Source organism: Homo sapiens, chromosome 9 (assembly GCF_000001405.40).
Source record: "Homo sapiens chromosome 9, GRCh38.p14 Primary Assembly".
In the NCBI taxonomy this organism is placed as follows: Eukaryota; Metazoa; Chordata; class Mammalia; order Primates; family Hominidae; genus Homo; species Homo sapiens.
In genome coordinates, this window is record NC_000009.12 from 121,716,623 (window position 1) to 121,742,215 (window position 25,593).

General features: G+C 53.3%; 1 protein-coding gene and 1 long non-coding RNA gene across 4 annotated transcripts in view, besides 3 other annotated features; one reads left to right on the forward strand and one right to left on the reverse strand.

The window, feature by feature from the left end:
- DAB2IP (DAB2 interacting protein) overlaps nucleotides 1-25,593 on the forward strand; it is a 218,457-nt gene that overhangs the window by 149,549 nt on the left and 43,315 nt on the right. The window lies entirely within an intron of this gene.
- Nucleotides 1,496-2,093: an enhancer, noted in NCBI's record as "H3K4me1 hESC enhancer chr9:124480397-124480994 (GRCh37/hg19 assembly coordinates)". NCBI's record gives its function as "activates a minimal SCP1, AML or CMV promoter by ChIP-STARR-seq in naive H9 embryonic stem cells {active_cell/tissue: H9 hESC(naive)}" and the evidence as "EXISTENCE:reporter gene assay evidence [ECO:0000049][PMID:30033119]".
- Nucleotides 3,571-4,098: an enhancer, noted in NCBI's record as "H3K27ac-H3K4me1 hESC enhancer chr9:124482472-124482999 (GRCh37/hg19 assembly coordinates)". NCBI's record gives its function as "activates a minimal SCP1, AML or CMV promoter by ChIP-STARR-seq in primed H9 embryonic stem cells {active_cell/tissue: H9 hESC(primed)}" and the evidence as "EXISTENCE:reporter gene assay evidence [ECO:0000049][PMID:30033119]".
- Nucleotides 15,622-20,428, reverse strand: LOC105376257 (uncharacterized). 2 transcript variants are annotated; one of them, XR_930314.4, is made up of 3 exons: nucleotides 20,211-20,428; nucleotides 18,889-19,058; nucleotides 15,622-16,857 (listed from the first exon to the last, which is right to left on the reverse strand). It is a non-coding gene; the product is annotated as an uncharacterized LOC105376257 (long non-coding RNA). The 2 variants fall into 2 exon arrangements; XR_007061754.1 differs by lacking the exon at nucleotides 20,211-20,428 and having other exon boundaries at nucleotides 18,889-19,295.
- Nucleotides 21,247-22,023: an enhancer, noted in NCBI's record as "H3K27ac-H3K4me1 hESC enhancer chr9:124500148-124500924 (GRCh37/hg19 assembly coordinates)". NCBI's record gives its function as "activates a minimal SCP1, AML or CMV promoter by ChIP-STARR-seq in naive H9 embryonic stem cells {active_cell/tissue: H9 hESC(naive)}" and the evidence as "EXISTENCE:reporter gene assay evidence [ECO:0000049][PMID:30033119]".

The window sequence follows — 25,593 nt, forward strand, 5'->3', positions numbered from 1 at the left end:
CCCAGTGTGCTGCCAGGAGACACCAGTGGGCATCCTGGGGTTGGTACCCAGTGTTCTGCTTTCTGCTCTTGCTCCTGCCTCCTTGGAGGCCAGGAGCCACATGCCTGAGGCCCAGGAATGTGATGGGGAAACAAGTTTCCCAGATTGGCCAAAGACCAAGATGGGAGCCATTGCACCAAGGTAGGCGTGGTAATTCAGTGCCACACGTTTCCCATGGTCAACCCTGCAGTCACTCTTCCCGCTAAGTCAAAGTGTCCACTTTGCTGTTGTCAGGTTATTTGGTGAATTTCTGTAGCCTCTAATGATGAGTAGTGAGTGGGAACTCTGTCTCCTTTGCTCCTAGCATCTACCAGGAAGACTGTTTCAGCGAAGGCAAGTCTCATACGGAGCTGGGCCTTGTGCACGCATGTGTCATAGCAAGCACTCATGAAGATGGGCCGGGGTCTCTTGTGAGCCTGGGGCAGCCCCGGGGGAATCTTGCCCTCAGAGAAGCACTTTTCACCATAGATTCACCCCTAGGTGATGCTATGCAGTCCTCATGGTAGGAATTACCAACTTCCACATCGGCTCAGGGGCCAGGATCTTCTAAGTGGTGGGACTTCGGGTCAAGCAGAATTCTGGACTCTGAGTGGCTTCCTAAGAGTTGGCCTGCTGCTTAGCCTGAATCTCAGGGCAGGTACAGACAGGATGGCGGTGCCCACAAGCCCTTTTTATCCAGCTAGCTAAAAGCCACTCATTGTACTAGCAGAAGCACGTTTCTACACATGAGAGGAAACACTGCATCCTTTTCGGTGCAGTTTTACAGAAAACTATTTAACGCGCTTGCTGTAGCTACCCCTGGCATGTGGATCCTGAGAATCCGCCCCTGGGCAGATTCACTCGGGTCACACACTTGTTTATCACACGGTGTGTAATTGACCTTAGTATGTGTGCATATGGACAGCATACCACGTAGCAGTGCCCTGGGCATTCTGACCTGCCCCTCCTGGCGTGTTTACTCCTCTCTACCCATAGTTCTGGCTGCCGTGCCTCACCCTGCCATGTGGCAACCACATGCCGGGCACTGAGAGGAGGCCCGGGTGAGAGTCTGGTCAGGGTCCTGCCTTCCTGGGAGCATTCTCCTTTGAGCACCACCTCCCTCTTCTTTCTCTCTTCCCCTCCCCCTCCAGTCCTGGACTTCCTGCTGTTCCTGGTCCAGGGGGAGGGCAGGTACCACACAGTGATGGGTGTCCTGCAAGCTGAGCCTGGGTTGTTGAAACTCCTGGCCCAGAAGCCTCTAGCCCCCAGCCAAGGTCCCTGTTTGGGCCGCGTTATGACAGTCTTGTTTCCGGCATGTCAGGTGTGACCATGCCTTCTGTCTCGATGGCTTTCCTTGCTGGTGGTCTCCCTGTGGGGCTGCTGTCCTTATGTGTCGAGGTTTCAGAATGGCCAGGCTCTTGGTGGGGAGGCCCTGGATGGACATGCTGGTGGCCCAGGAGAGAGCGACCCATCCTCAGTCCCTCTGCCTGTGAAGGCAGACTCTCCTGCCTGCCCTGGCAACAGCTCTGCGCCAGCCTGTCTGTGTGGCTGCCGGCAGCCGCGGCTCCTGACTGGCTGCCTTCTCCCAGCTCCCTCACGCCCTCCAAGGCTCACTCACTCACTCACTGGCTGCTCGCAGCAGCTCAGGCAGCGTTCAGGCAGATGGTGCAAGGGAGGCGTGGGCGGGGGTCCTCGGACTCTGCTTGCACACCCCCATGTGTGGGTGAGGTCACGCCCAAGGGATGTCATCAACATACGCTGGGATGGGCTTGGTGCCATTCAAGATCTATCTGCAGGGACAACAAAACCCGACTTCGAGGTCTTAACAAGTCCCTCGGGAGTCTCCAGACTCGAGTCCTTACACTGCATCACCCACTCCCCTGAGCCACCAGGCCCTGGTCTCCTCTCTTGACCCACAGGACACTGCAGGCAAATGCTGGGTTGAAATTCCAGCTCTGCCGCTTGTCAGCTGTGACTTTAGAGAACTTAGCTAACTCTGCAAAATGGGGGATAGTATCAGTTCATGGCATTGTCAAGAGGAATGAATGGGATTTGCAGCTAAATGCTTAGCAGCACCTGGCGAAGAGCAAGCGCAGGAGATGAGTTAACCGGGATTGTGTCATGGAGTTCCCCGGCTCGTGTTGTGTCCTCTCTCTGGAATGCTGCCTTCTCTTTCCCCTGTGATTCCTACTTTGATCATACCTGTCTTTCAGATCCTAGCTCCTTCTGCTTAAAGCTGGCTCTGCTCCCCCTCCCCCAGTCCTAGGCGGACTTCAAGGCCTTCACTTTGCTCCTCATTTTTTGTGCCTGATTTCTGTGCTTCACTTTTGGGTCCACTCCACCTGGTAGCAAGGGGGTGCTTCATGAGGGCACTGGATGGGATCTCTTGACATATACATGTCCTGCCCTCACTGGTAGAACAAAGCAAGAATCTAGCTCCTTCATAGCTCCTCAGAACCTCCGGGCAAACCTGGCTATGGTCCCCTTACTCCCTGCAAAGTGGAGCACATGACCAAGCCCATTCGCAAGGCCTTAGGATGAGAAGTCATAGTGATCCCTTTACAGATGGGCAGCTGAGGCCAGGAATGAGGAGGGGATGTACCCAAGGACACGTAAGAAGTTGGAGACCCTGGCCTGCTGCTTCTGTGCCTCTCTGCTGGGGGTTGGGGAAGGAGTCGGGCCATCTCTCAAGGAATCCGGGAGGACTTCACAGAAGAAGTGACAGGAGTTAAGGCTTGAAAGAGGATGGGTTCATCACATAACCAAGGCAGGGAAGGGCATTTAGGCAGAGGGAACCCCATGAGCCTAGTGCTCAGAGGATGAAAACCTTACTCTCTTCCTGGGACAGTCATTGAGACTGCAGTGAGAGGTGGGAAAGGGCCTGGAGCATCGGGAGAGTGAGAAATCATTGGGAAGGGCAGGAGCCAGCATTAAGGAGAGGCAGAGATAGAGAAGGTGAGCTGGTTAGAGGCTTGGCCCAGACCCGTGTATGTGCCAGATTAGACTGGGGGAGGGAGGGCCCAAGGATAAGCATCCCTTTGTGCCAGGTGCTTCATCTCTTAGTGCTTACAGTGACCTGAGAGGTGTGCTTGTTTTAGAGATGGGGAAACCAGATGCAGAGAGGTTTGGTGGCTTGACCAAGGTCTCATGGGCTAGTAAGAGGCAGAGCCAAAATGTGAACCACCAGCAACATGACTCTCAAGTCCTCTGGTGGCCACCACCTGTTTGGGATGGGGTGGCAGCTCCTCTCAGGGCAGGGGCCCTGTAGTCTACTCCCCAAGCAGGTGTGGGGGCCACTAAGAGAGTGTATGGCCCACAAGGTTCATTGTTAGGTCCTAGGCATGTGTCCAGGTGCACATAGACACCTTCAGTGAACCAGATTGTTCACCAAGCCTGGCAACTCTCTTCAACTAGGCCCTATTGGAAAATGGGTAGGATGCCAGGCAGCCTACAGCTGGGCAGCTCCAACTCTGGCCTCTGTTGCCCAGCAGCCAAAAGGTGGGGCTCTTGTAAGACCTGAGCCCCTCACCCCGTGTCTGGGTCCTGTAGCATTTCGGTCCTTACTTCCTTGCAGTTCTCAGGGTGTGGCAGTTGTCTGTGTGCCTCATTGAGTGGCAGATCTCCTGTGGACCGGGCCCAGGCCTCCTCTCTGGGCCTCTGGCACCTAGCATACAGCCTGGCCCAGCACAGGTGCCCAGTAAATGTTTGTACCATGAACGATACATTGAGCACCTACTGCGTGCCGGGTGCTGTGCCAGGCCCTGGAATAATTAACTTCGGCATGGCACTTTATGATTCACAGAGCTCCTCCCAGTCCCCTTAGGAGTCTGATTGTCTCAGATCAGGTATTTATTTCCCTGTTTTCCAAACAAGGAAACTGAAGCTTAGGAAGAGGAGGGCTGTAGCCTCAGGTCACATCTGTCAGCCAGGGAGGGGCAGAACCAGCCCCAGCCACTGCCCACTCCCTGCTCCCTGGGCAGTGAGCACACCCTGGAGGCTGACAGCTGTTTCTTTCCAACCCCTGCAAGCAAGAGATAGAGCACCCTGGCTGGCAGGGAAGCCAGGCCAACAGAGAATCCGTATCCCAGGAAGCAGGGCTCCTGGGGGCTGCAGTAGGCACCTGGCTCATCCTCAGGGCTCCACCCAGCAGGAGCAGGGGCCTCCTCTTCCACTACCAAGGACCTGGTTGCTGGGGACAATTGTCTGTGTCTGGGGTAAGTCAGAGGCAGGAGAACAAAGAGAACCCTTCCTGCCAATGCCACTCTGACCTTGAAAACCCTGTGGGGTTTCATTTACTCGAAAGAAAAAGGGAAGAGTTGGTTACCAGCTTCAAAGAGGGGCAGACCTCCTGCAGGCGAGCATTGAGGAAACCTTGGCTTTGTGAGTTATTGCTGCCAAATTTCTCCTTTTCAGTTTAACAGAAGTCCTGGGGATCACTGTCCATGGGCTGGGGAGGAATCCGGCCACCTTTTTTAGAAGGCAGGAAGGTGCCAGGATCACTGCTCTTACTTTGGTTGGGCTCTAGGTGGCACAGCTTCTGATGTAAAGATCAAATAACAATAGGGAGATCTGGATGCAGCCTGAAGGCTCACCCCAGTGTCTTGCTGCAGGTGTGCCCAGCTGTGGGACCAGGACCCCAGGAAGGAAGGGCATTGTTCTGTCCCTGCTGTGGGAGTCTCTCAGGGAAGCAGCATAGCACTCAGGAAATCCTGGGCACCGTGAAGGGCTGTGTATTTATTCCTTATTCCACAAACAATAAGCAAGTCCCTGCTGTGTGCCAGGCACTGAGTGGGATCCTGGGAGAAGGATTGATGTGTTGTGGGTCCTGCCATGTCCTGCCTGTTGTGACAGTCCACCACTGTAGTGGCATCTGTGTCCATCTGGAGAGTACATGTTCTGCTAAGGGGGGCAGCAGCCCCTGCACCATGGCACTGGGCATTTGGTGGCAGGCCTTTGGATTTATAAGAGAAGCCAAAAATCTAGAGGTTTTTTTGTGACATTTTAAAATTTCACATCTTTAAATGTTGGCATTTGATTCAAAACTTAAAAATGTCAACACTGTGTGGGCTAAACAAAACATGAATGTTGACCAAATACAGCTCATACTCTTTAGTTAAAGACCTTTATCTTAAAGGTTGGATAAAACCCAGATGGGCAGAGGGCAATAGGCAAGGTCTTCCTGGGGAGGGGGCACCTGGACAGAGGGGTGGTGGTGGGAATCTGCCTGAGCATTTTCAGGGCAGCTGGGAACTGGGAAGTGAGGGGCGGAACTGATGGGGCCCCGCCCAGTCATGGAATCCTTGCATGCCCTGGACGTGCAGATGTGCTGCAGGCCTGACCCAGGCTGCCCTGAGAGCCTCCAGCTGTGTCCATCCCTCCAGTCAGCAGCGTTTACCCAACACCGTCACATAAATGAGGCTTTGGCCAGGCAGGAGCTCAAGGAAGAAGGGTCATGAGTATTTAAGAGAAACCTCCAGGACACACGATCCTCATCTCCAGGAAAGCTATGGAATGGGGGCTGTCGATCTCTCCGTTGTCCATGCATGCATGTGACCTCCCCTGCCATTTGCATTTGCTCTCCTGCAGCTCCTTCAGGTTCTGGGCTGGGCCAGGAGGGCTTTCGCAAGAACACCTAAAAACCCTTGGAAAGGGGCTCTTCCCTTCTCCTCTTCCTGTTCCTCCCCTGCAGGAGTCCTGCATTGTTCAGAGGGTTTGAACGGCTCTGGCCAAAGCCTGTTTGGGTGTCTTCCTGTTCGGGGCCTGCAGTTATGACTCCTCCCTTTTTCTCAGTTTCTCCCCGTCTGCCACTCCCCCCATGATCCATATTTGAGTTTCTTCTAAATGATCACCTGCAGAAATGGTCCTTCAGATTGTCCCAGAGATTTGCCCAGGAAACTTTCATTGAGCCCCTGCTGTATGCAGGGCCTTGGGCCAGAGAGGGGACTGAAACCCAGGGCTCCCACTGACTGGTAGAGTAGACAGCCACACAGACAGCCAGTGGGTTTGAAGAAGAAACTCAAGTGTGGATCATAGGGGGAGTGACAGACAGGGGGAAGAAACAGAAAAAGGGAAGTTATGACTGCAGGCCTACCTGGGAGGCTGAGGCAGGAGTATCCTTTGAGCCCAGGAGTTTGAGTCTAGCCTGGGCAATATAATGAGACTATGTTTCAAAACAAGATAAGTTAAAAAAATTGCAAGTATAGAGTACCAAATTCCAGGCACTATAAAGCAAAAAGTAACAAAACTTCTATGCCACTCCCACCATAGAATCTCTTACTCCACCAAAAGCCACGGTGGACTGTTGGTCGGGGACTTTTTCTGCAGACTTTTTTCTGTGGCCAATGAAATGATCTTATCCACGTCCCTGTGCCTGGAACAGGCCACCCAGCATGCTCCTGCTTCCTTGGCCTGCAGAAGGACTGAGGGAGCCTAGCTGCCATGGCCCAGAGCCCTCTCTCCCAGCACCCACAGCCTTTAGTCCCATAGCTATGGTGCTGGGTGGCCCTCCATGGACGGAGTCTGTGGCTCTGGAAGGAAGAGGGCATGGTCTTTTCCCAGCAGTGCCACACAGACTCAGGCCGTGGGCTGCCTCAGCCAGCAGAGAGGGAGGCAACAAGCAGGCTGGCTGGCTGAGGACTTCGAGAGCACACAGGGCTCCCCCAAGGGATCCTCGGGATTGAGTTATTTCTGTTTTTGCTCACCTGTGCCTGGCCCTGGGGACAGAGACAGGAATCAGCTGCAGTCCCTGCCTCCCTGGAGGAGCTCCCAGTCAGGTGGGAGAGGTGCCTGCCACCCCTGATGAAACTGTCTCTACCTCAGGTTCTCCCTGCTGCTCAGAACAAGGGACAGCCAGGAACCAGGTCCAGGGAGGAGTGTGGTCTGGGCTCAGGGGAGCCCTGGAGGAAGTGGATTGTAAGCTAAGATTGGGAGGAACTCTCCCCACCCTGGTTTCACCTGATGGGTCTTGCAGCACCTCCTGCTCAGTAAGCAAAGAACTGGATGGGAAAGAACTGACATCTGTGCAATGCAGACACTTGGAGCTGTTGTTTCATTTAGAGTACAGTGTTTTCCCCTAGAGGCCCTGTGTGGATGAAGACACAGAGCTGGTTGAGGATTGGGCCCAGGGGGTAGGGCGGAGAGGAGGGTGCATGGTGAAGATTTGTCTACTTAGGCTGGTGAGCCCACTCGGGGTGGAGCACTGGCTTAAGGCACCTTGGCCCTGCCCACTGCTGCTGGGGGACCTTGATCAAGGTACTTCATCATCAGTCAAATGGGGCAGAGAGCCCTGCCCACCTCCCAGGGCTTCTCTGAGAGTCTGCCTGACAGTCTTTCTGCCTTGGGAGCAGCAGAGCCTGGGCCCATGTTGGGGATGATGAGGATGTTGATGGTAACGAGGATAGTGACAGGGACAACATGGGGGATTGTTTACTGAGGATTCCCTCATGCTGGCGCTTGAGGTGACACACCCTCACTGTGTGCTGTGTGCCCTGCCGTCATGGCTCCCCACTGGACCCTGCACCGAGCCCTAGACTTGCTCCCCTTTCAGTCAGTTCTCTGCCCAGGACTCACTTGTTATGACTCAGGTTCCTTCCTGTGGACCCTGAATGGGGAGCACCTGACTACCTTTCCAGTTGCACTTCCCCCACCCCTCCCCGTTCCCTGCCCCACGAGTGCTCCAGCATACATCTTTGTCCTTGTTCCCTCTTCTTCTCTTCCTGGAACATTCTTTGTTCAGATACCTGTGTGGCTTGCTGCCCCACTTCATTCAAGTGTGAATCCAACCACCCGGTCAAACACAGCCCCCTCCCATCCTCTAGCCAGGACCTGGCTCTGCATTTGTCTCTAGCTGTTGAGTTCACCTGATGTTGTTACATACTTCGTGTACTTTTCCCACACTCTAGACTGTACGCCACATGCAAGTAGAACATTTATGTCTTGTACCCTGATGTGTCTCTGGCACCTAGAATCGGGCCTGACAGAAAGTTGGTGAATGAACAAACAAACATTTAATTGTACCCCATAATGTGGACACATTGCTGTCTACATTTTACAGATGGGGAAACTAGACTCAAAGAAGAGGTGGATTGACTAGCCCAATGTCATACAGCTGCAGCGGGACAGAACCAGGATTTTAGCCCAGTGTCTGTGGCCTCTGAGCCCTGTCTCAGCCAGTAGACACTCCCACCTCCCCAGAATCTAGGATGGACAGGAATGGGAGGGGGCCCAAAAAGGTGGGTAGGATTTTACCCTGGGGATTGAGGGGTGAGGCCAAGGAGGGGGTGAACCATGAGGGTCTGAGAGGGCCAGGGGCAGGTCGGGGACTTCAGTGAGGGTCAGGACAGGGAACCCTTGCAAGACAGTCTCTGAGGAGAGCACCCCCGGCACCAGCCACTCCCAAAGACCAGCCGCCTCCAGGCTTCTTGTGCTGGCTTTGGTTCCTGGCACGATTTCTGTTTCCCAGAGGAGCTCAGGCCTGGCCCGGCTTCCCAGGGTGGAGAAACACATGGTGAGTGAGTGTGTGTGCGCGCGTGTGTATGTGTGTGTGTGTCCAGCCTTGCTGTTTGCGTTGTCGTCACGTCTTCTTAATCAGCCTATTTCTGGGAGCGATGACTTCATCTCCTGTGATTCTCGACACAGCCATTGTCAGGCGTCCATGGAAAGATTGGGCCTGGCAGTGTCCATATTCCCCTAACGAGCCAGGTTGGGAGAGCCAATTGGCGGGCCCTGGTCTGACCTGGCTCGGGGGCTTATGGTCAGGTCTATCTCCAAGAGACTCCACTGCCCAGGGTCACCCTTAGATTTGGCCTCTTTGACCCTGGGGTACCCAGTGCAGCAAATTCCAGCCATTGTTTCCTGTGTGCTTCCTCTGTGTACGCTCTGCTGTGGGCAGGGGGTAGGGGACAGTCACGCCAATCTCTGCCCTCAAGGGCTCCTGCTGTCTGACAATGCAGATGAGTCAACAGACCTCACCTTAGAGGGTCTGTGCGTGAACAGAGAAGGGAGTGAGGACTCTACCAGCGCTCAAGGAAGGCTCCACTGAGTTGGTGGTTGGGCCACAGGGTGAAGGTGAAGGTTCCCTTGAGGGAGGGAAAGGGCTTTTGGGCATGCCAGGTAGTTGGGTATCACTGGGCACGGGGCGGCTATGTGTTGGGCCTGGAGAGTGCAAGGAATAGAGGGGAAGGTAGCAGGAAGGCAGCAGGGTATGGACTTGATCCTGAAAGTAGCTGGGAAGGATTTTAAGAAGAGATGGGACCTAGATAGATCAGCGATTTTAGAAGCAAGTCCTTGGCTGTGTGTAAGGGTAGGTGTGGAAAGGTGTGACACTGGGAAATATATACAGTATTTGGTTTCTTGGCACACGACTCCTGAAATCCTTAGATTCTTTAAAGTGATGTCTACTTATTTGCTAATGAGTTGACTGATGGCTGGCAGCCCCTAGGTGGCTTCAGAAAGGGGTCACAGAAAAGACCAAGGCAGGATTAGAGGGTTAGAACTTTCAGCCCACCCCACAGCCCCTGGGGCAGGGAGAGAGGCTGAAGGTTAAGTTAGTCGCCAATGGCTAGTGCTTTAATCAATCATGCCTATGAAATGAAGCTTTTATAAAAACCCAAAAGGACAAAGCTTGGGGAGCTTTCAGATAGCTGAATGCTTGGAGGTTCCTGGAGGGTTCCTAGGGAGGGCATGGAAGCTCCACGCCCCTGCCCACATACCTCTCCCTATGCATCTTTTCATTGGTATCCCTTTATAATAAACTGGCAAACAGAAGTAAATATTTCCCTGAGTTCTGTGAGCTGTTGCAGCAAATTAATCAAACCCAAAGAGGGGTTTATGGGAAACCCAGTTGATAGCCAGTCGGTGGGAAGCACTGGTAAACCAACACGGGGCTTGCAATTGGCATCTGAAGGATGGGGGGATAGTCTTGGGGACTGAGCCCTCAACCTGTGGATCTGATGCTATCTCCAGGTAGATAATGTCAAAATGGAACAAAATTAGAAGACATCTGGGCTGGTGTCTGCTGCCCAACTAATCGCCTGCTTGGTGTGTGGGGACAACCCCTCCCGCCCCCACCACATCTGGTGTTGGAAGTATTCTGCTTTGTGAGAGTATAAAAGGAAAGGGGAGAAACTGAGTTGGGTTTTTTCTACAGAAGGTGTCTGGGACAGGGAGGAAGAAGCTGGCGACTGAGGGCTCAGCCCTGTATTCCCCTTTATCTTCAAGGGGAAGGGTCTCTTTCCCCACCCTACTCCCTCATACTGTACTTCAGGAACTGGTGCCAAGGCCAGCTGAGCTCAGCCAACTGCCAGGAGCTCAGTTCCCCACCCTGGAATGCTGGTGGGCTGGGGATGGGAGGTGGAGAGGAGTAGGGATGTGGGGTGGTCTCTCAAAAATATTGTGCTGGACTTACTGCAGGCTTATGTATAGCTTTGCCTGGAGGCAGGGGGACAGTTGAATGAGTGCCAGCAGGATAAAGCACTCTGAGGGGTGATACCTTGTGTCCTGCTCTTGGCCTGGACACTCGTTACCCCCTCACCTCCATTCCCCATCTGGAGATCCCTCAAGCCCCACCTTGAAGCAGAGACACTGATGTAACAGTTCAGGCTCCTGAGCTGCACTGCCCGCGGTGAAGCTGCTTCCCAGCGTTGTGGCCTCTAGCAGGTGACTTGCTCTGTAGTGAGTTTTAGTTTCCCTCTCTGTCAAATGGGGACAAAAAGTGTAACCATTTCCTAAGATACTTGTGAGGATTAACATATGTTTTAAGAGGGAGGCTTAGCAGAGTGCCTACACATAGAGGCGCCAGCGTGCCTTAGCATGGCAGTGGGGGTGTGGCAAGGGTGAGGGCAACTGTCTTCACCATAATTGCCAAGGCTCCCTTAGGATTCAAAAAGCCAGGGATCAGAGGAGTGAGGAGGTGTGATGGGAAGGCCCAACAGGAGAGCCTGTTTGGCGGAGCAAGAAAGAGACTGGGCCCTCCTCTCCACCACTCTGTGACCTCATCTCTCTGAGCCTCAATTTCTTGGCCCAAAGAAATGGTGAGAAAAGGAATGTTGGGGGCCCCCACTGCAGGGGCAGGTGAGGAGCTAATGTATCTGTTAACACTTGTGTATTTCCTTTTCCCTCAAAGCCGAGAATCAGCTGCTTGCCTCTCTCTTGGGCAGGCATCCAGCAGGGAAATGCTTTGAAGGAAGCCTTCCCAAGCTGAGGGTAGCCAGGCTCTCCCACCTCCATCTCCTTCTCCCACACAGGGCTGTCTGCCTTCTCCCTTGTCCCTGAGCCACCACCCATCATCCTTTGCATGCCTTCATTGTTCCAGCTGCTCAGTGTTGTCTTTTTTTGTAAGAAAACAGTCCAGTTCAGCAAACATTTCATAAGCACCTGTTGTCTGCCTGGGTCTTTTTTGGGCTCAGGGCATACAGGGGATGGTTAAAGTACCAACCCAGCTATTATAGGGGAGAATATTATGGAATTGTTTTGAAAGATCTGAATGCAAAAGCAGCGATCCCAGGGCAGGAGGCCCTGGGTTCTAGGCCCTTGTTCTCCTTTCTTCCCTTGGGACCTTGGGCAACTCATGGTACTTCTCTGAATCTCAGTTTCTTCAACTCAAAACCCAGGTCAGTCTGTTGATGCCCCTGGTTCTAAGAGGCATCCTGTGATCAGTTTTGGAGTAACACCCTGTGGGCTCATCAGTTAGAGAGGTCTGTGGGAACTGCAGTTTCAGGCCATAGTGAGAACAGCAGACCCCAGAGGGAGGAGTCTGATCCAAGTTTGAGTCCCGTTCCACTGCAGCTTTTGCTAGTTGCGTGAATTTGGGCCCGTTCCTTAACTCAAAGACTGGGTTTTCTCAGATGTAAGGTAGGCATTGTGATATGCCTGCCAATAGGGAACTCACGGGTCTTATTAATGCTACTGAGATCCTGTTCTCAGATACAGGGCCTGCTCCATGCCAAGAATACATACCCAACCCTCCAGAGCTCCTTGTATCAGAGAGGGGCATTAGTGCCCAACTTAAGAGGAGCCAGTGAGGGTGGGGAGGCCTGCAGCTGGCCCAGGAGCTCTAGAATGACTGCAGGTGGGCTGGGCAGGGGCTTCTTGATTTCAACATGCACTAGTGTGGAATTCTATCTAGCTTTATGAAGAAAATGTTTGCTAATGTTATTAATAGTGTAAATGAGATTTGGGGAGGGGGGGACAGCCAGGGGAAGGGGTTATTTAAACACACTTCAAAGAACACCCTTCTCCAGTATTTAAGCAGCATCATTTGCATATGTAATAATTGTGCTAATTATAGGTGGCCTCATCTGTTAACGACAAGTTTGCCTGGTTGAGTTACATTATTGTAATCACCCAATCATAATTCTCTGGCATGCTTTTCACTAAAGATAACAACAACAATAGTAATAATGCCTGTCATTTTTTAGTCTTTTGCTCTGTGCCAGGCTTCCTCCCAGGTACTTGACAGTCATCAGCTCATTTAATCTTCACAACACCTCTGTGTCCCAAAGATTCTTATCTCCTGTGTACAGAGGATGAAACTGAAGTGCAGAGAGGTTAGGTAACCTCCCTGGGCTCACACAGCCAAGAGCCAAGGGGGAAATGCCAGCTCACAGGCTCTTTCCACTGGCTAGCACTACTTCTCTGGGGACACTTGACATGTGTTCTCACCCTTTATCTCTAAGCCTTCTCTTTCTCATTTGCTCCTCTCAGAAACCCCCATTTTACCGAAGAGGAAGCTGAGACCCTAGGAGAGAATTTGGGGCTGGGCAGGAGGTGAGCCCAGGTCCCCTTAACTTTATGACAAAACCAGCCCCAGCATACCCACCTGCCTTCCTGCAGTAAGGGATGGAGGGCAGCAGCTCCTCCATGTTCTCCTCTGAAGTCTTGAAGGAGTCCAGCCTTGAGGAGGAGGGTGCTCCTTACCTCTGCTATCAAGCGGGGTAGGCCTGGCCTCTCCATCAAAGAAATTATAAGTAAACAGGTGGGAGGACTCTAGCACACCATTAATTGCTTTACATAGGTTGTCATTAAATCAGAGATAGTATATGGATGGCTGGTGGCCAGATGTAGCCCACAAACAGGTCTCATTTGGCCCGATGGGGTGGAAAGTTTTTGTTTTGTTTGTTTGTTTAAAATCATTCACCAACACTAGAACATTTACCTTAAACATTCACCTGAAAATCTAGGTTTCTGGCTTCTATTTTAAGACAGATGTGGCTTCAGTGGGCCTATATTCCTATAGGGCAAATAATTGGTTTCTTCAGTTCACCTCAGACTCCTTTTCTCCCTGGAAGGCTCCTCCCAGCAACCTTGGGAGGTGTGTGGGTGTGTGTGGGGTTATAGTGTTCCCATTCTGCAGATAAGGAGCCTGGGGCCCAGAGGGGACCAGCTGGGCCACTCCACAAAGCTGTTGGTAAGGTCAGGACTTGAACCTCCATCCTCATCTCCACGCTTTGTGGTTCTCACTCCACCTCGCTGCCTCCCAGCCATGTCCAACCCCCACTGGCCGCCAAGGAAAGAAAGAAACTTTTCACAGGCCTAATGACTCAAAAATAAGCAACAGTAAGCCTGAAGAACTGTTCCTATCTCCCTCCTCTCCCTTTCCACCCTTCCCGAGGCCAGAAGGGACATGGGAAACCTATTCATTTAAACTCAATTATTTTCTCGAAGACAGAACAGAACTGAATTGGGTCAACGGCTATATTTGCTGTGCTCAGCTGTTTTCCTGCAACAGCATCACCCGCCGGGTCTGTTGCTGGGCCCTGCACTGCCAGGCTCACCAATTATAGCTCCATATTGGTAGCCATTCCTTGGGAAGCTTGGCTCAGGAAGAGAGGAGTCAGTGAATAGAACCTATCACCCTCTCCTTTTTCGCCCAGCAGGCTGCAGGGGCAGGGTCCCTGGGCCAGTGTGGGTCCAGGCTCCGTAACTGTGTGGTCAGCACCTCCAGGGACCTAGGCTTCAGGTATTAGACATTTAATGTCCAACACCTATCTGTAGGGGAGGTGCATCTGCAGCAGAGTTTCTGCAGATGAGGAAACTAAGGCTTAGAGAAATGAAGTGCTTGTGGGAGAAGCAGACCTTAGAGTCAGGCACAGCTGGCACTTTCTAGCTGTGTGACTGGGAGCAAAGAACCTGACTGCCTTGCTCCTCTGATCCCACCTGTAAAGGAGGCATAATTTGACATACCTCACAGGGCTGGGCTGTCCTGTTGTAGATGGGTTGCAGTGTACATGCCAGCAGCCTGCCCAGGGTTAACCCTCCTGGCAATGAGAAGTGTGCACCATGTGCCAGGCACAGAAGTTGGTGGGGGCACAGAAGTTGTTGGGGACACAGATCTCTGAAGAAGGATATGCTTGGACATCGTTCTCTCCAGATACCTTTCCTGATTCCCTGCTCCCAAACTGGAAATGCTCCTGCAGTCTCTCTAGGTCCCCTGTTGGTCCAGGCCCTGCCCTGGACACTTTTCACCACATCTTCTGGGCCTACAGCCTGTTATATATATTTTTTTGTTTGGTCCTAATATTTGTGTACCTTCCCCTCTCTACTAAACTGCCAGTTTCCTGAGGACAGACCGGGTGTCTTGTTCACCTGTTTGGCTCCTGGTGTCACTTCCTTCCCAGCTGGGTGGCCTTGGACTGGTTGTTTAACCCGGTGCACCTGTTTTCACATCTGTAAAATGGGAACAGTGATCTCTCTCCCTCTGGCACATGTCACGGCAAGGAGGTTAATATCACACATGGCAGCACTGTGCCAGATGGCTGACGGAATGGAGTCTAGAGAAACATTGGGAGGAAACCAAAGCAGAGGCTGCCCCTCTGCCCTCCTTGAAGTAGGGAGTATCTAAGGAGGCGAGGCATAGTGGTTATAAATGCTGTCTTGTTATAGAATTGCTGTCTGGTTACATGGGGAAGTGGGAACAGAGTGGTGGCCAGTGGGCCTTTCCTTGTCTCCTCCAGCTTCTTGCTGCAGAGTGCTGGGCTTGCCCCAAGAATGGACTGCTCTGGCCTCACGGTCATCTCAGATTGCCCAGTGGGGCTGGGGCTGGGGCTGGGGCTGGGGCTGGTTGGGACCTACCCACAACCACTGACCTCCAGGTGCCCGGGTTACAGTACCTGGCATTAGATCTCTTCTTTTGGGGTCTGGGTGTAGAGCAGGATCTCCCTGCACTACCCCACGATATTATTGCTGATCTCAGGGTTGGGGAGTGTTTAGGGAGGCTTGAGTTCCCTGACCTTTCAGGAAGCATGCATGTGAACTTAGGCCTCGGACCTCGTGTAGACATGGTGTGGTGATGGCTGGGCCCTACTCTGGTGGGGTGGACGCAGGACTTGGGGACTAAGCAGCAAGTGACCTAGCCACAGACACAGAAATGGCTCTGGTGGGAGCCCAGAGTGGCACTGGACTCTCTGGGGGGCCAGGGCTGAGGGGACTGCCCAGGTTGATCCCGGCGTCTTGTACAATAGAACCAGCAGTCACAGGCTCATAAACTGTAACCGTCCTCTTTCCGTTGCCTCTTGGTAGCATTCAGCCCCTGGCACACTATGCTGGGTGTTGCCTAGTACTTGGCACTGTGACAACCAAGAAAGAAAAATGCTGACCATGTCTCACTGCTTGTTCGAGTAAATTTACTCTATATTTTTTAGAGATGTCGCATGGGTGGGAATTTACTCCCACTAAATGTTTTGATGGAAACATTACATTTTTGGAGTGAACATGTGTCAACATCACTGTGGAGAAAAGGTTCCAGGATTCTCTGCCAGCCAAAGTCATCACCATAAGACACTGGTTGGGGGCCTGGCAGGCGGAGGTGATGCGACCAGGCTGGTAGTGGGGCAGAGGTAGCCAGATGGGTAGGAGTCTGCCTGGCTGGTCTGGAGGGAGAAGGGGATCTGAGCTGGGGGAACTGAATAGGTGGTGAGGAGGAAGGGAGTAGGGAGGCTGTGGGCTGATGACATACATTAACCACCCACACAGCTCAAAACTAGGTGAGTGGGGAGCTTGAGGGGCAGGAACAGCGAGCAGAGGCTCTGAAGTGTTGAACACTGGCAGCTCAGACCCGAGGGACAGGCTGGGGCCAGATTGTTGAGGGTCCTAGAATCCCAGCTCCCACCAGTAACTAGCGATGTGAGCTTGGGCAACTTTTCCAACCTTTCTGTGCTTCTGCTTCATTTTTAGTAAAATGTAGCATGGATAGCCACAGCTTATGGCTCTTTGGAGAATTAAAGGAGATAATGTCTGTAAAATACCTAGCGCTGGGCCTGGCACATAGCAGGTGCCAGGACACATTTGCTGTTTGTTGGTGATGATAAAGCCACACAAGTATAGATGTACTCACATAAATTAACAGCTGGTGCACTGAAACTACTTCCTGAGTTGGCCCTCAATCTAATACCAAGTTTGTTTTCTCACCTTCAGCTAAGTACAACTGGTCTCTTCAGAAGCCCTTGTGGTCTCTTGTACCTTGTGGTACAACTGTGGTCTCTTCAGAAGCCCTTATTCATGAACAGCCAGGCCCTGGGCTGACTTTGCTACAGGGCATCCGTCTCTGGCCCTGTACCTGTTTCTGTCCTACAGACGGATCCTGGGGCAGTTGGTGGGTTTTAGCAGCACCCTCCTTTAGAAAAAGCCTCTGTCGTCTGCTCAGTCTCTAGAAAGAAGAGATGTCTCCTCTCCCAGGATGCATGCATCTCTCCCCACGGGATGTACAGGCGTTGCCTGGAGGTATTCCTTGACAGTCGTGGCCCAGACTCTCTTGTCATTCAAAGAAATGGGAAGCTTTTTGAGGTGGGAGGGTTTCAGACTCCCCCAGAGAGCCTAGCCCAGTTGCTGAGGACATCTTCAGATCTGAAAGAAGATAAGACAGGAGCATCCTGAGCTCTGGGGAGAAGACGGCCTGCAGTGTGTGTTTCTCCATCACTCACGTATGGAATCCCTTAGGCCCTGAGAACCAGAGATGAACAGACCCCAAGGAAGGCCTGGCAGGGCAGGCAGCAGTAGCCAGGAGAAGGGAGTCAGACCAGGAATTCAGGCAGAGAAAGGGAGAGATTGTGCACTTTCCTGTGCCCGGGGCCACTGGGAAGGCTTCCCTCAGGTGGGGGCAGTTGAGCTGGGCCTTGAAAGGTGAATGAAAATTAGAAATGGGGGCAGGAGGGGAGCCTCGTGGAAGCAAGTGTGTGACTGTGAGAAAGGCGGGGCATGCACTGGGAAGAGTAAAAAAGGAGGCGGGCTTTGTGACTGTTCCCTGTGATAAGCTCCAGGTATAAAGGTGAGGAGTGTGCAGGGACAGGTAGGACCTACTGATGGGCGAGGCCCAAGGCTCTGGACTTGTTCTGTGGCCACAGGAGATGCTGAAACCAGGAGTGACTGGATCAGGGCAGCTTCTGAAATTCCCCCAGCTACACGTGGCCAAGAATGGTCACTGTGTACTCTGTACTTTTATGTGTTACTAAAGATGTTGCTGGGCCGGGCGCGGTGGCTCACGCCTGTAATCCCAGCACTTTGGGAGGCCGAGGCGGGTGGATCACGAGGTCAGGAGATCGAGACCATCCTGGCTAACAAGGTGAAACCCCGTCTCTACTAAAAATACAAAAAATTAGCCGGGCGCGGTGGCGGGCGCCTGTAGTCCCAGCTACTCGGGAGGCTGAGGCAGGAGAATGGCGTGAACCCAGGAAGCGGAGCTTGCAGTGAGCCGAGATTGCGCCATTGCAGTCCGCAGTCCGGCCTGGGCAACAGAGCGAGACTCCGTCTCAAAAAAAAAAAAAAAAAAGATGTTGCTGAAAGGAGCCTGCAAGCGGTTATGCAGACTTCTGAGCAGGGGCTAGGAAGGAGGGCACAGAGGAAGCAACAGCAGACAGCTGGTGAGGGTGGGAGACCCACTGGAGATGGACATATTCTGACCCTCAGATGCAGGCTCATTTCTTGTTAGCTCGTGACTCCTTACTATGAGAGCTGTCATGCAAAGGAAAAGGCCCTGTTATGGGGCCCTGTTTTCTTATAACAAGATATTATAACAGTGGGGATGACTCAACAAGGGGATGCTTCTTGCCTGAGGGAAATCTAGGAAGGCTTCCAGGAGGAAGGACTATTCAGATTGAGGAGGGAAATGAGGGGGCTAGTAAAAGGTGCAAAAACAGTTGTCTAGGGGTGAGGCACACTTTCAGATGTAGTTGGGTCAACTTGAGCAAATGACTTAGCTATTCCAGACTTGATTTCATCTATAAAGTGGTCACAGTATCTGCCTTGCCTGTTTGTTGCCATGATCATGAAATCAGTGGGAGCAGACCTGGCTTGGAGCCTGCACCCTGGAGGGAGGTGGTGCTCAGAGGATGCACTCTGCTTTCGCCTTCCTTGTTGGTTTGGCTGCTCTGGAGCCAAAGGGGGCTTCTCTGGCCCCAGGACCTCTCTGAGACTCTATCTTCACCTCTCCCCTGCTAGGAAATTTTATTAAGACATTGGATAAACAGATGACAGCTCTGAGGGAAAACTTCTCAGAAGGAAGGGGACAGGACACTAAGTGCTCTTCTGGCTGGGAGCCTTTTAGGCAGTAGGGGGAGCTGGGTAGCTCTTGGGGCTTTGGTGGTGTGGACTGATGCAAATGTGGGCAGACGGGGTGGTGTTGGATCGCCTGGCCTGTGTGCACGGCAGAGCTGAGCCTGGAGCCTAGGGCCCAGCAGGGGATGGAATGAGTCAGGGACTTTCCAGGTTGGGGGCTGCTGCTGGGGACACAGTAAAACCTCTTCACCAGTCCTGCAATAACCCCAGACAGTATCCTGCCTGCCTGTACACAGTAGGTGCCTGACACAGTCTGCAGCTTAGTAGGAGCTCAGTAGTTGTTTGCTAAAACAGTGGCGCAGGCTGCAACTGCCAAGGACTGACCTGGGGTCTGTGATGCCTTAGGGTGGAGGATGCGAGGAGCTGGGCAGGACCTAGGTGGGACTCCAGGGTGTGGCTCTTGTTCTCCCACTGGCTTCTGTTCATATTTACATCGGGAGGCTGTGCAGCCTCGGGTTCCTGGCCTCAGCTGGATTAGCACCTCTTGCTGGTGGCTGTAAGGGAAGGAGGTGTGACGGTATGATACCCTGCATGTGGTAGAGACTCAGTAAGTGGATACCATTGCGGTGGCTTCTCTGGTGGGATGGGAAAAAGGGTGACCCCAGGCAAAAATACCTGGTTGGCTGGGTGTGCCTTTCCCCTAGGGGTTTTTGTTTCCGTGTTTAAATGACCCAAGGATGAATCTCCAGGCCAGCAGGTGGGGCAGGGGTTTGTCTGCCCCCAGGCTTCTGGGCGCAATCGGGAACCTGGGCAGCTCACACAGCTCACCAGCCTGTCTCCTCCTTCCCTGCACCCGACCTTTCCCTTCTGTCCTGCCGGACTAGCCGGGTGCTTTCCAGAAGAGAAAACCCGGGACTGCTGCCTGGGAACCCAGTGCCCTTCTCAGCTTAGGCTGTCTAGACCCAAGTCGGGGTGGGGAGTCGGGTTAGGGGATCATGGTAGACAAACCCCTGGCCTTGTCTGGACCTCAGTTGTGTTCACTTGTTAAAATGTTGGAATGGAAATGTGGGGAAGGGAGAGCGTTTGCCTTGGTTGGGTCTCTGGGCTGCGCTGGTCTAAGCCCGACGAACCCGGGGTGGGGCCAGCGGGCCAAACTGGAATGCGCCGCGAGAGCCGGGCCGCGGGCAAGTGAGGGGCTGGCGGGGCCGGTGGGGACCCAGACTCGCACGAAGGTGGGGAAGGAGTTGCAAGGCAGAGACCCCCGAACCCCTGCTCCAGGGCCTGCGCGTCCCGCCCGCCCGGCGTGCCGAAGCGCAGCGGCGGGTCGCTAGCGGGAAGTGGCTGCAGCTGGAGGCAGCTGGCCGCGGAATGTCACCCGCTGCCGGGCCTGGGAAGGGCTGGGCCTACTGCTGTGGGGTGGGGGGCGGGTGGGAGGGCCCGGAGGGCTGGGGCTGGGGCGGGCCGCTTCCGGGCTGGAGAGGGTTTGGGGCGTGGCGCAGCCCGACGTTAGTCCGGAATGCTCTGGGAGCAGCGCTCGGGGGAGGTTACCTTGGCGCGCCCCCAAATCTTTTGGTTCCCCCGCTCCTGCCTTCCACTGCTCTGGCTGACCTGGCTCAGACCAGCTTGAAAAATGCATTCATTCATTCAGTACATCTGTCGAGTGTCTACTCTGTGCCAGGCTCTGGTTCGAGGTGTGCTGGGCTTACCGGGGCGTGCAGGTCCCTGTTCTCGTGGACCGGACATTTTCATGATAGGTAAAAGACAGAAACAAACAAGATGACTTCAGGGTAGTTCTGTGGAGAAAATGAAGCAGGGTGATAACTTGGGAGGTGGGAGTTGCCCCTTTAGCTAGAGAGATCAGGGAAGGCCTCTTCCTGGGACGGGACTTTGGGTCTGAGACCGGAATGAGGAGGAACCAGCCTTGCCCACGGAATGGCAAATACAAAGGCCCAGAGGCGGGGCTTGGGGCAGGATATGACCTTGGGCGGAGTCAGTATGTTAGGGGAGGAGCCTGTAGGGACGGCTCCTCCCTCTTTCTTGACCCAGACCTCTGTGCTCTGGCCTGCACCCTGCCCAGAGGCCCCAGAGGGCGACTTGCCATGGCTGGAAGCGATAGTTTGCTTTCAGGAGTGTTTCTCGTCTTCTTGGACCTGGAGGTTGTGCCATGTGGTTACCTGCATGGAAGACGGTAATTTTCCACTTGTTTCCTGAAGGACACGGAAACCTTTAGATGTTGTCATCACTGTGTTTATTTAAGTCATTTTTGAAATTTCAGCTTGGAAGACACAGATTCAGCACGTGCCTTTCGGGAAGGGGAAGCCCTCCTAGGCTCACCTCTTAGATGCCGGCCCGGCCGAGAGGCCCCCTAATCTGTCCAGAAGAGCTGCCTGGGTGAGCACCACCCTTGGGAATGGGCCTCTGTGGCCTTGGACTTCTTAGTGACAACTTCGGCAAGATCCTGGGCCGGGCCGGAGGGGCTGCTCACTGGAGACCTGGCCATCTTCGGAAGCCAGATCTGGCTCCAGAGCCTCGGGGGTTGCAAGTGCCCAGAACCAGGTCAGCAGAGAGGCCTGCGCTCCCACCACAAAGGTCTGTTTGAAGTCCTGTGGGAGGGAGGACAGACACCACAAGGAAACTTCCTCCCCGGTGGGTGGGTCTCCAGCCAGGTATGGGGTCAGACAGGCTTTGGTCGGGCTGGAGGGTGAGGAGCTGTTTCTCCAATGAGGCCTGGTCCCAGGACTGAGTCCTCAGTGGGCAGGGCTTGTTGGTGTGCTGTGAAAGTGCAAGGCTTGGGGGACTGAATGGGGGACTCCCTTGGACATGGGAGGAAGAGTGAAGGTGGGGGCTGGGGTTGCTAAACTGGTTCCTCCTCCAGGGAAGCAAGCCCTGCCCTCCTGGAGCTTCCAACCTGGAGGTGGGGAGGTGGGCTGGGGGGAAGCTTTAGGGCACAGCTCAGAGAAGGCCAAGCAGGCAAGGTTGTGGGGCACCTGGAAGGTGGGTGTCCAGCGGCCTGGCTGCTGACCTAGGCTCAGGGAACCAGCATTTGGTGGGTGAGCTGTGAGGAACGGGCCTTGACCCTAGGCTGCAGGGCTAATGAGGGCCTTTAGCCAGAGGCTCCCAGCACAGGTGAGGGGGAAACTGCCGGTGCCCCTGTGCCCTCGCGCTCTCCCAGCCCTGCCTCTCTGAGACAGATTTAATAATCCATGTCTGTCTCTCTCTCTCTCAGTTAGTATTGCAGGAGGGAAGCTTTACTTCTAAAACTTTTATTGATCCAGACACTAATAAAAGTAAAGGGTTTTTTTTTCTTCTTTCCTGCTAGAGCAAAGAACATCAGACATCAGAGCCCTAAAACACAAATGTGTTTTCCTCCTCCCTAGATCTGGGAGGGAGTTGTGGGTTGGCCTTGTTCAGATCTAGCCTCTTCAAGAAGCCTCCCTAACTTCTCAGGCCTGCAGTCATCCACCTGTTCCAGAGCAGTTAAACGAAACTGCCACATGTGCCTCTGTCTGACCCCAGAAGGCTGGGCTGTCACAGAAGCTTTCCTTCCCACCTGAGGTCCCCAGGGTTAGGGAGAGACGCCATGGGAGGCATTCAAGACCTGGCTCTTGATTTCTTGTGTCTCTCAGGGTTTGGGGTTTGGTTCTTTGGCTGCTCTGGTCTTTGTTTTTGCATCTTGATTTCATCAGGACTTACTGAGCTCTTATACTGTGTCAGACCCTCTCTTAAGACACAGAAATACAACACGTAGAGCTTGGCCACACACAGCTTACCTTGTGATGGGAGAGGCAGATAAGAAATAAGCAGAGAAACAAAGTGATTCTGCTTTGGGAAACATAGTGAAGTTCCCCTACTGAAATGTGAGTCAGGGAATTTCTGTCTGCTTTGTTCAGCACCTGTGTTCCCAGTGCCTAAATAGTGCTTGGCACATAGTTTGCACTTAAATATTTGCTAGCTGCATGAGCAAGATGCTATGAAGGAAACAAGCCAAGTGTTCCACTAGGGAGTAATGGGGGCAGGGCAGGACCTGTTGTAGATGGAGCAGTCAGGGAAGGATTGAGTTGCAGAAGATGCCAGAAGCCTGCCAGTTTGCTGTTAGAGTGTGCTGGAGCAAGAACTCCTAGCCTAGGGAGCAGCAAGTACAAAGTCCTTGAGCAGGAAACAGAGACTTTGGTGTGTGTGGTGGGGGGCGTTGGGTGTTGCTGGATGAGGTCAGAGAGTAGGTAGGTCATGACTGCCAATGTCTTTCACCTGGGTAGCAGTTCAGATTTATTCAGTGCAGTGGGGAGTAATTGAAGGCTTTTAAGGTGAGGAGTTCAGTAATCTGATTTGCATTTCTGAAGGGTCCCTCTGACTCCCCTGGTAGGGGTAAGGGGAAGCCCAGTGGTTGGGGAGGCTGCCCGGACAGCAGGCTGCCTGGGGAAGATGGAGAGGAGTAAACAGGTATGAGGGATTTCAGAGGGGGTAGCAGCAGGATTTGTGTTGGATTGGATTCCAAAGGCCAGGGAAAGGAAGGGCTCCTGGCTTTGCTACTGAGGCTCCACGCTGGACATTTCAGACGTGAAGCTCCGAGAGGTGTCCCAGAGGCGCTGTCAGGCAAGCATGGAGACACATGGGTCCGGAGCTCAGAGGAGGATAGGGCTGGGGATGCACTTAGGAGTCGTGAGCATGCTGGAGGTATTTAGAGCTATGGGAGTGGAAAGAATCACCAAAGGAAAGTGTTGTGCTAAGGAAGTGTCTCCGAAACAGCCCTGAGGAGCTCCAGCACTGGGAGGAAAGGAGGTGAGGTGCTAGCAGCCTGTGAGAACAGAGGAAAGCTGGAGCAGGGTGGCCTGGGTTCACGGGGTAGTAAGGCACAGAAACTGGTTGACTTTGGCAACATGAAGGCCTTTGGTGTCCTCAAGGAGACCCAGTGGGGTCGGAACAGACAGGTGTGTTGAGTAGGAAAAGGAGGTGAGAAGGTGGCGGGGACAGCAGTGAGCAAAGAAGTGCGTGAGGACCCAGCTGGCCCAGGATGTTGAGGAGGGGAGGGCCAGGGAGGGGCCTGAATGTTCTCTGTCCACAGCGTAGGTTTACCAGCAGCAGCTGACCCAGTGGATCTCAGCCTGGAGATTCTGATTCAGGAGCGCCGATAGGCCCCCCACAGTGATCTTTCCCAGCTCTCTGAGCCCTCTCCACCCACTCTCTGGAAGGCTTGCTCACTGTGCCCTGTCACGTTTTTGGACTGAATGCTGAGTCTGTTGACCCTGTGTTCCCCCCGTCAGCCCCTTTCCTTACACCAGTCTCTCTGGGTCCACGGCCCCTAAATAAGAGTATCCTGGAGCCTGGCTTACCTCAAGTGTCTTTCCCAGAGCAGAGCTAGACTTCCTTTACACCAAGGGTATTTCTCTGGAAGGCTCCTTTATGTGTTTGGCTTCTGGAGAAGTTTGAGATGTTTTACACAATATTTTGGTGGCCAGGAGCTCTAACCCTCACCCCCAACAACCCTGCCCCAAGACTTTTTGCTGGCTCTGGGGAGGGTTCAGAATGCATCGGCTTGAGGGTGCAGGGTTGGCATACACAGCTGGAGATAACATAATGTCTGCTAGACGCCTGGTGGGTTTCAGTGTCTGTTGAATGAATGGCACTCAGATATTTGAGTTTGGGGTTCCCAGTTGCTTTGTTAAATGCTTTTCCTGGTTAACCAGTGTTTTTACATCTGTTATCTGCAGGGGATAGTGTATTACCTCATTTTATACATGAGGAAACTGAGACTCAGGAAAGTAAAAGGATTTGTCCAGGGTTCCACAGTTGCTAAATGACACGACCAGAATTGGAGCCTGGGCCTGCAAAACCCCCAAATTGGGCCTCTTCTTACTGACTAATCCTGGGGGTGAGGTAGTAAGGGTGGAGGTTAAGGCACCCAGGTCTCCTACTACCTCTCAAGAATAGTGGCCAGATGTTCTGCCAGGGCTCCAAGGCATTCCTTCTGCCTCCCACCCACCTGTTTCCTCTGATGCTCGACACCCCCTCCTCTCCCCACATGCGCACCAGATGCATTCGGCTCCAGGAAGATAGGATGAGGCAAGCCTTGAACCTTGTCAAACCTTGGGGATGCTTGCGGCAAAGCCTGTAGCTTTTGGGGAGGCTGTTTCTGCAACAGGCGTGTAGGGTGGCCCTATGGCTGATGCAGAACTCCCCATAGGTAAGGTGAGCTCAGCCGGATCACATGCCATGACCACACGTGAGCATGGAAGACAAACCCAGAGAGGTCTGGAGGCAGGGCCCCTCCCGGAGAGGCAAAGCCACTTATGCTGCCTCCTGACAGCCTGTGTGGCTTTAGGCTCTCGCTTCCCTCCTGCTCTGCCCCTCCTACTCACCCAGCAGACTTGCTTAGTCTGGGCTTGGGTAGCCGAGACAGGTTGTTTTCAGGCCTCAAAGGATTTGGGCCACAGCCCAGCCTTTCTCAGTGTTTCTCACCTTCTGTCCTTGTCTCCTTATGGGACGGAGCAGGCATCTGGAAGGTGGCAGAGGGGTGATCCTGCCTGGAAATCACTGAGGGTCCTTTTATAGAAAGAAACAGGCTGAGAGAAAGAAATGACTTGGCCACAGTCACTACCCAAGAGGCTAGTTTCCTGTTTGTGCCTCCAGCTATCCTGGGGCAGCTTCCTTCACCCCAGCTGAAAGCAGGCTTTTGTTACGCGCTCACTCTCAGCAAGGCTTTGTTCTGTATCCTCTCGGCAATCCTATGAGGTAAATAATATTATGTCCATTTTTGAGGAGGAAACAGAGAGGCCTAGGGAGGTGACTTAACCTGTCCAAGACCACACAGGTTACAAGTGGCAGAGTCCGGGTTTGAACATAGCCTGGCTTCAGAGCTCATTTTCTTTACCATCAGGCTACACATTCTGAAACTTATTTGGCTTCCAGGCATCACAGAAACAGAGTGAGGGTGCTAAATCCTTGAATGACTCAGCCCCTGTGGAGTTGGACCTGAAGACGCCTCCTGGCCTTGGCTTTTCTGACCAAAGATAGCCACACTGGGCAGGGCACGGTGGCTCATGCCTATAATCCCAGCACTTTGGGAGGCCAAGGTGGGTGGATCACCTGAGG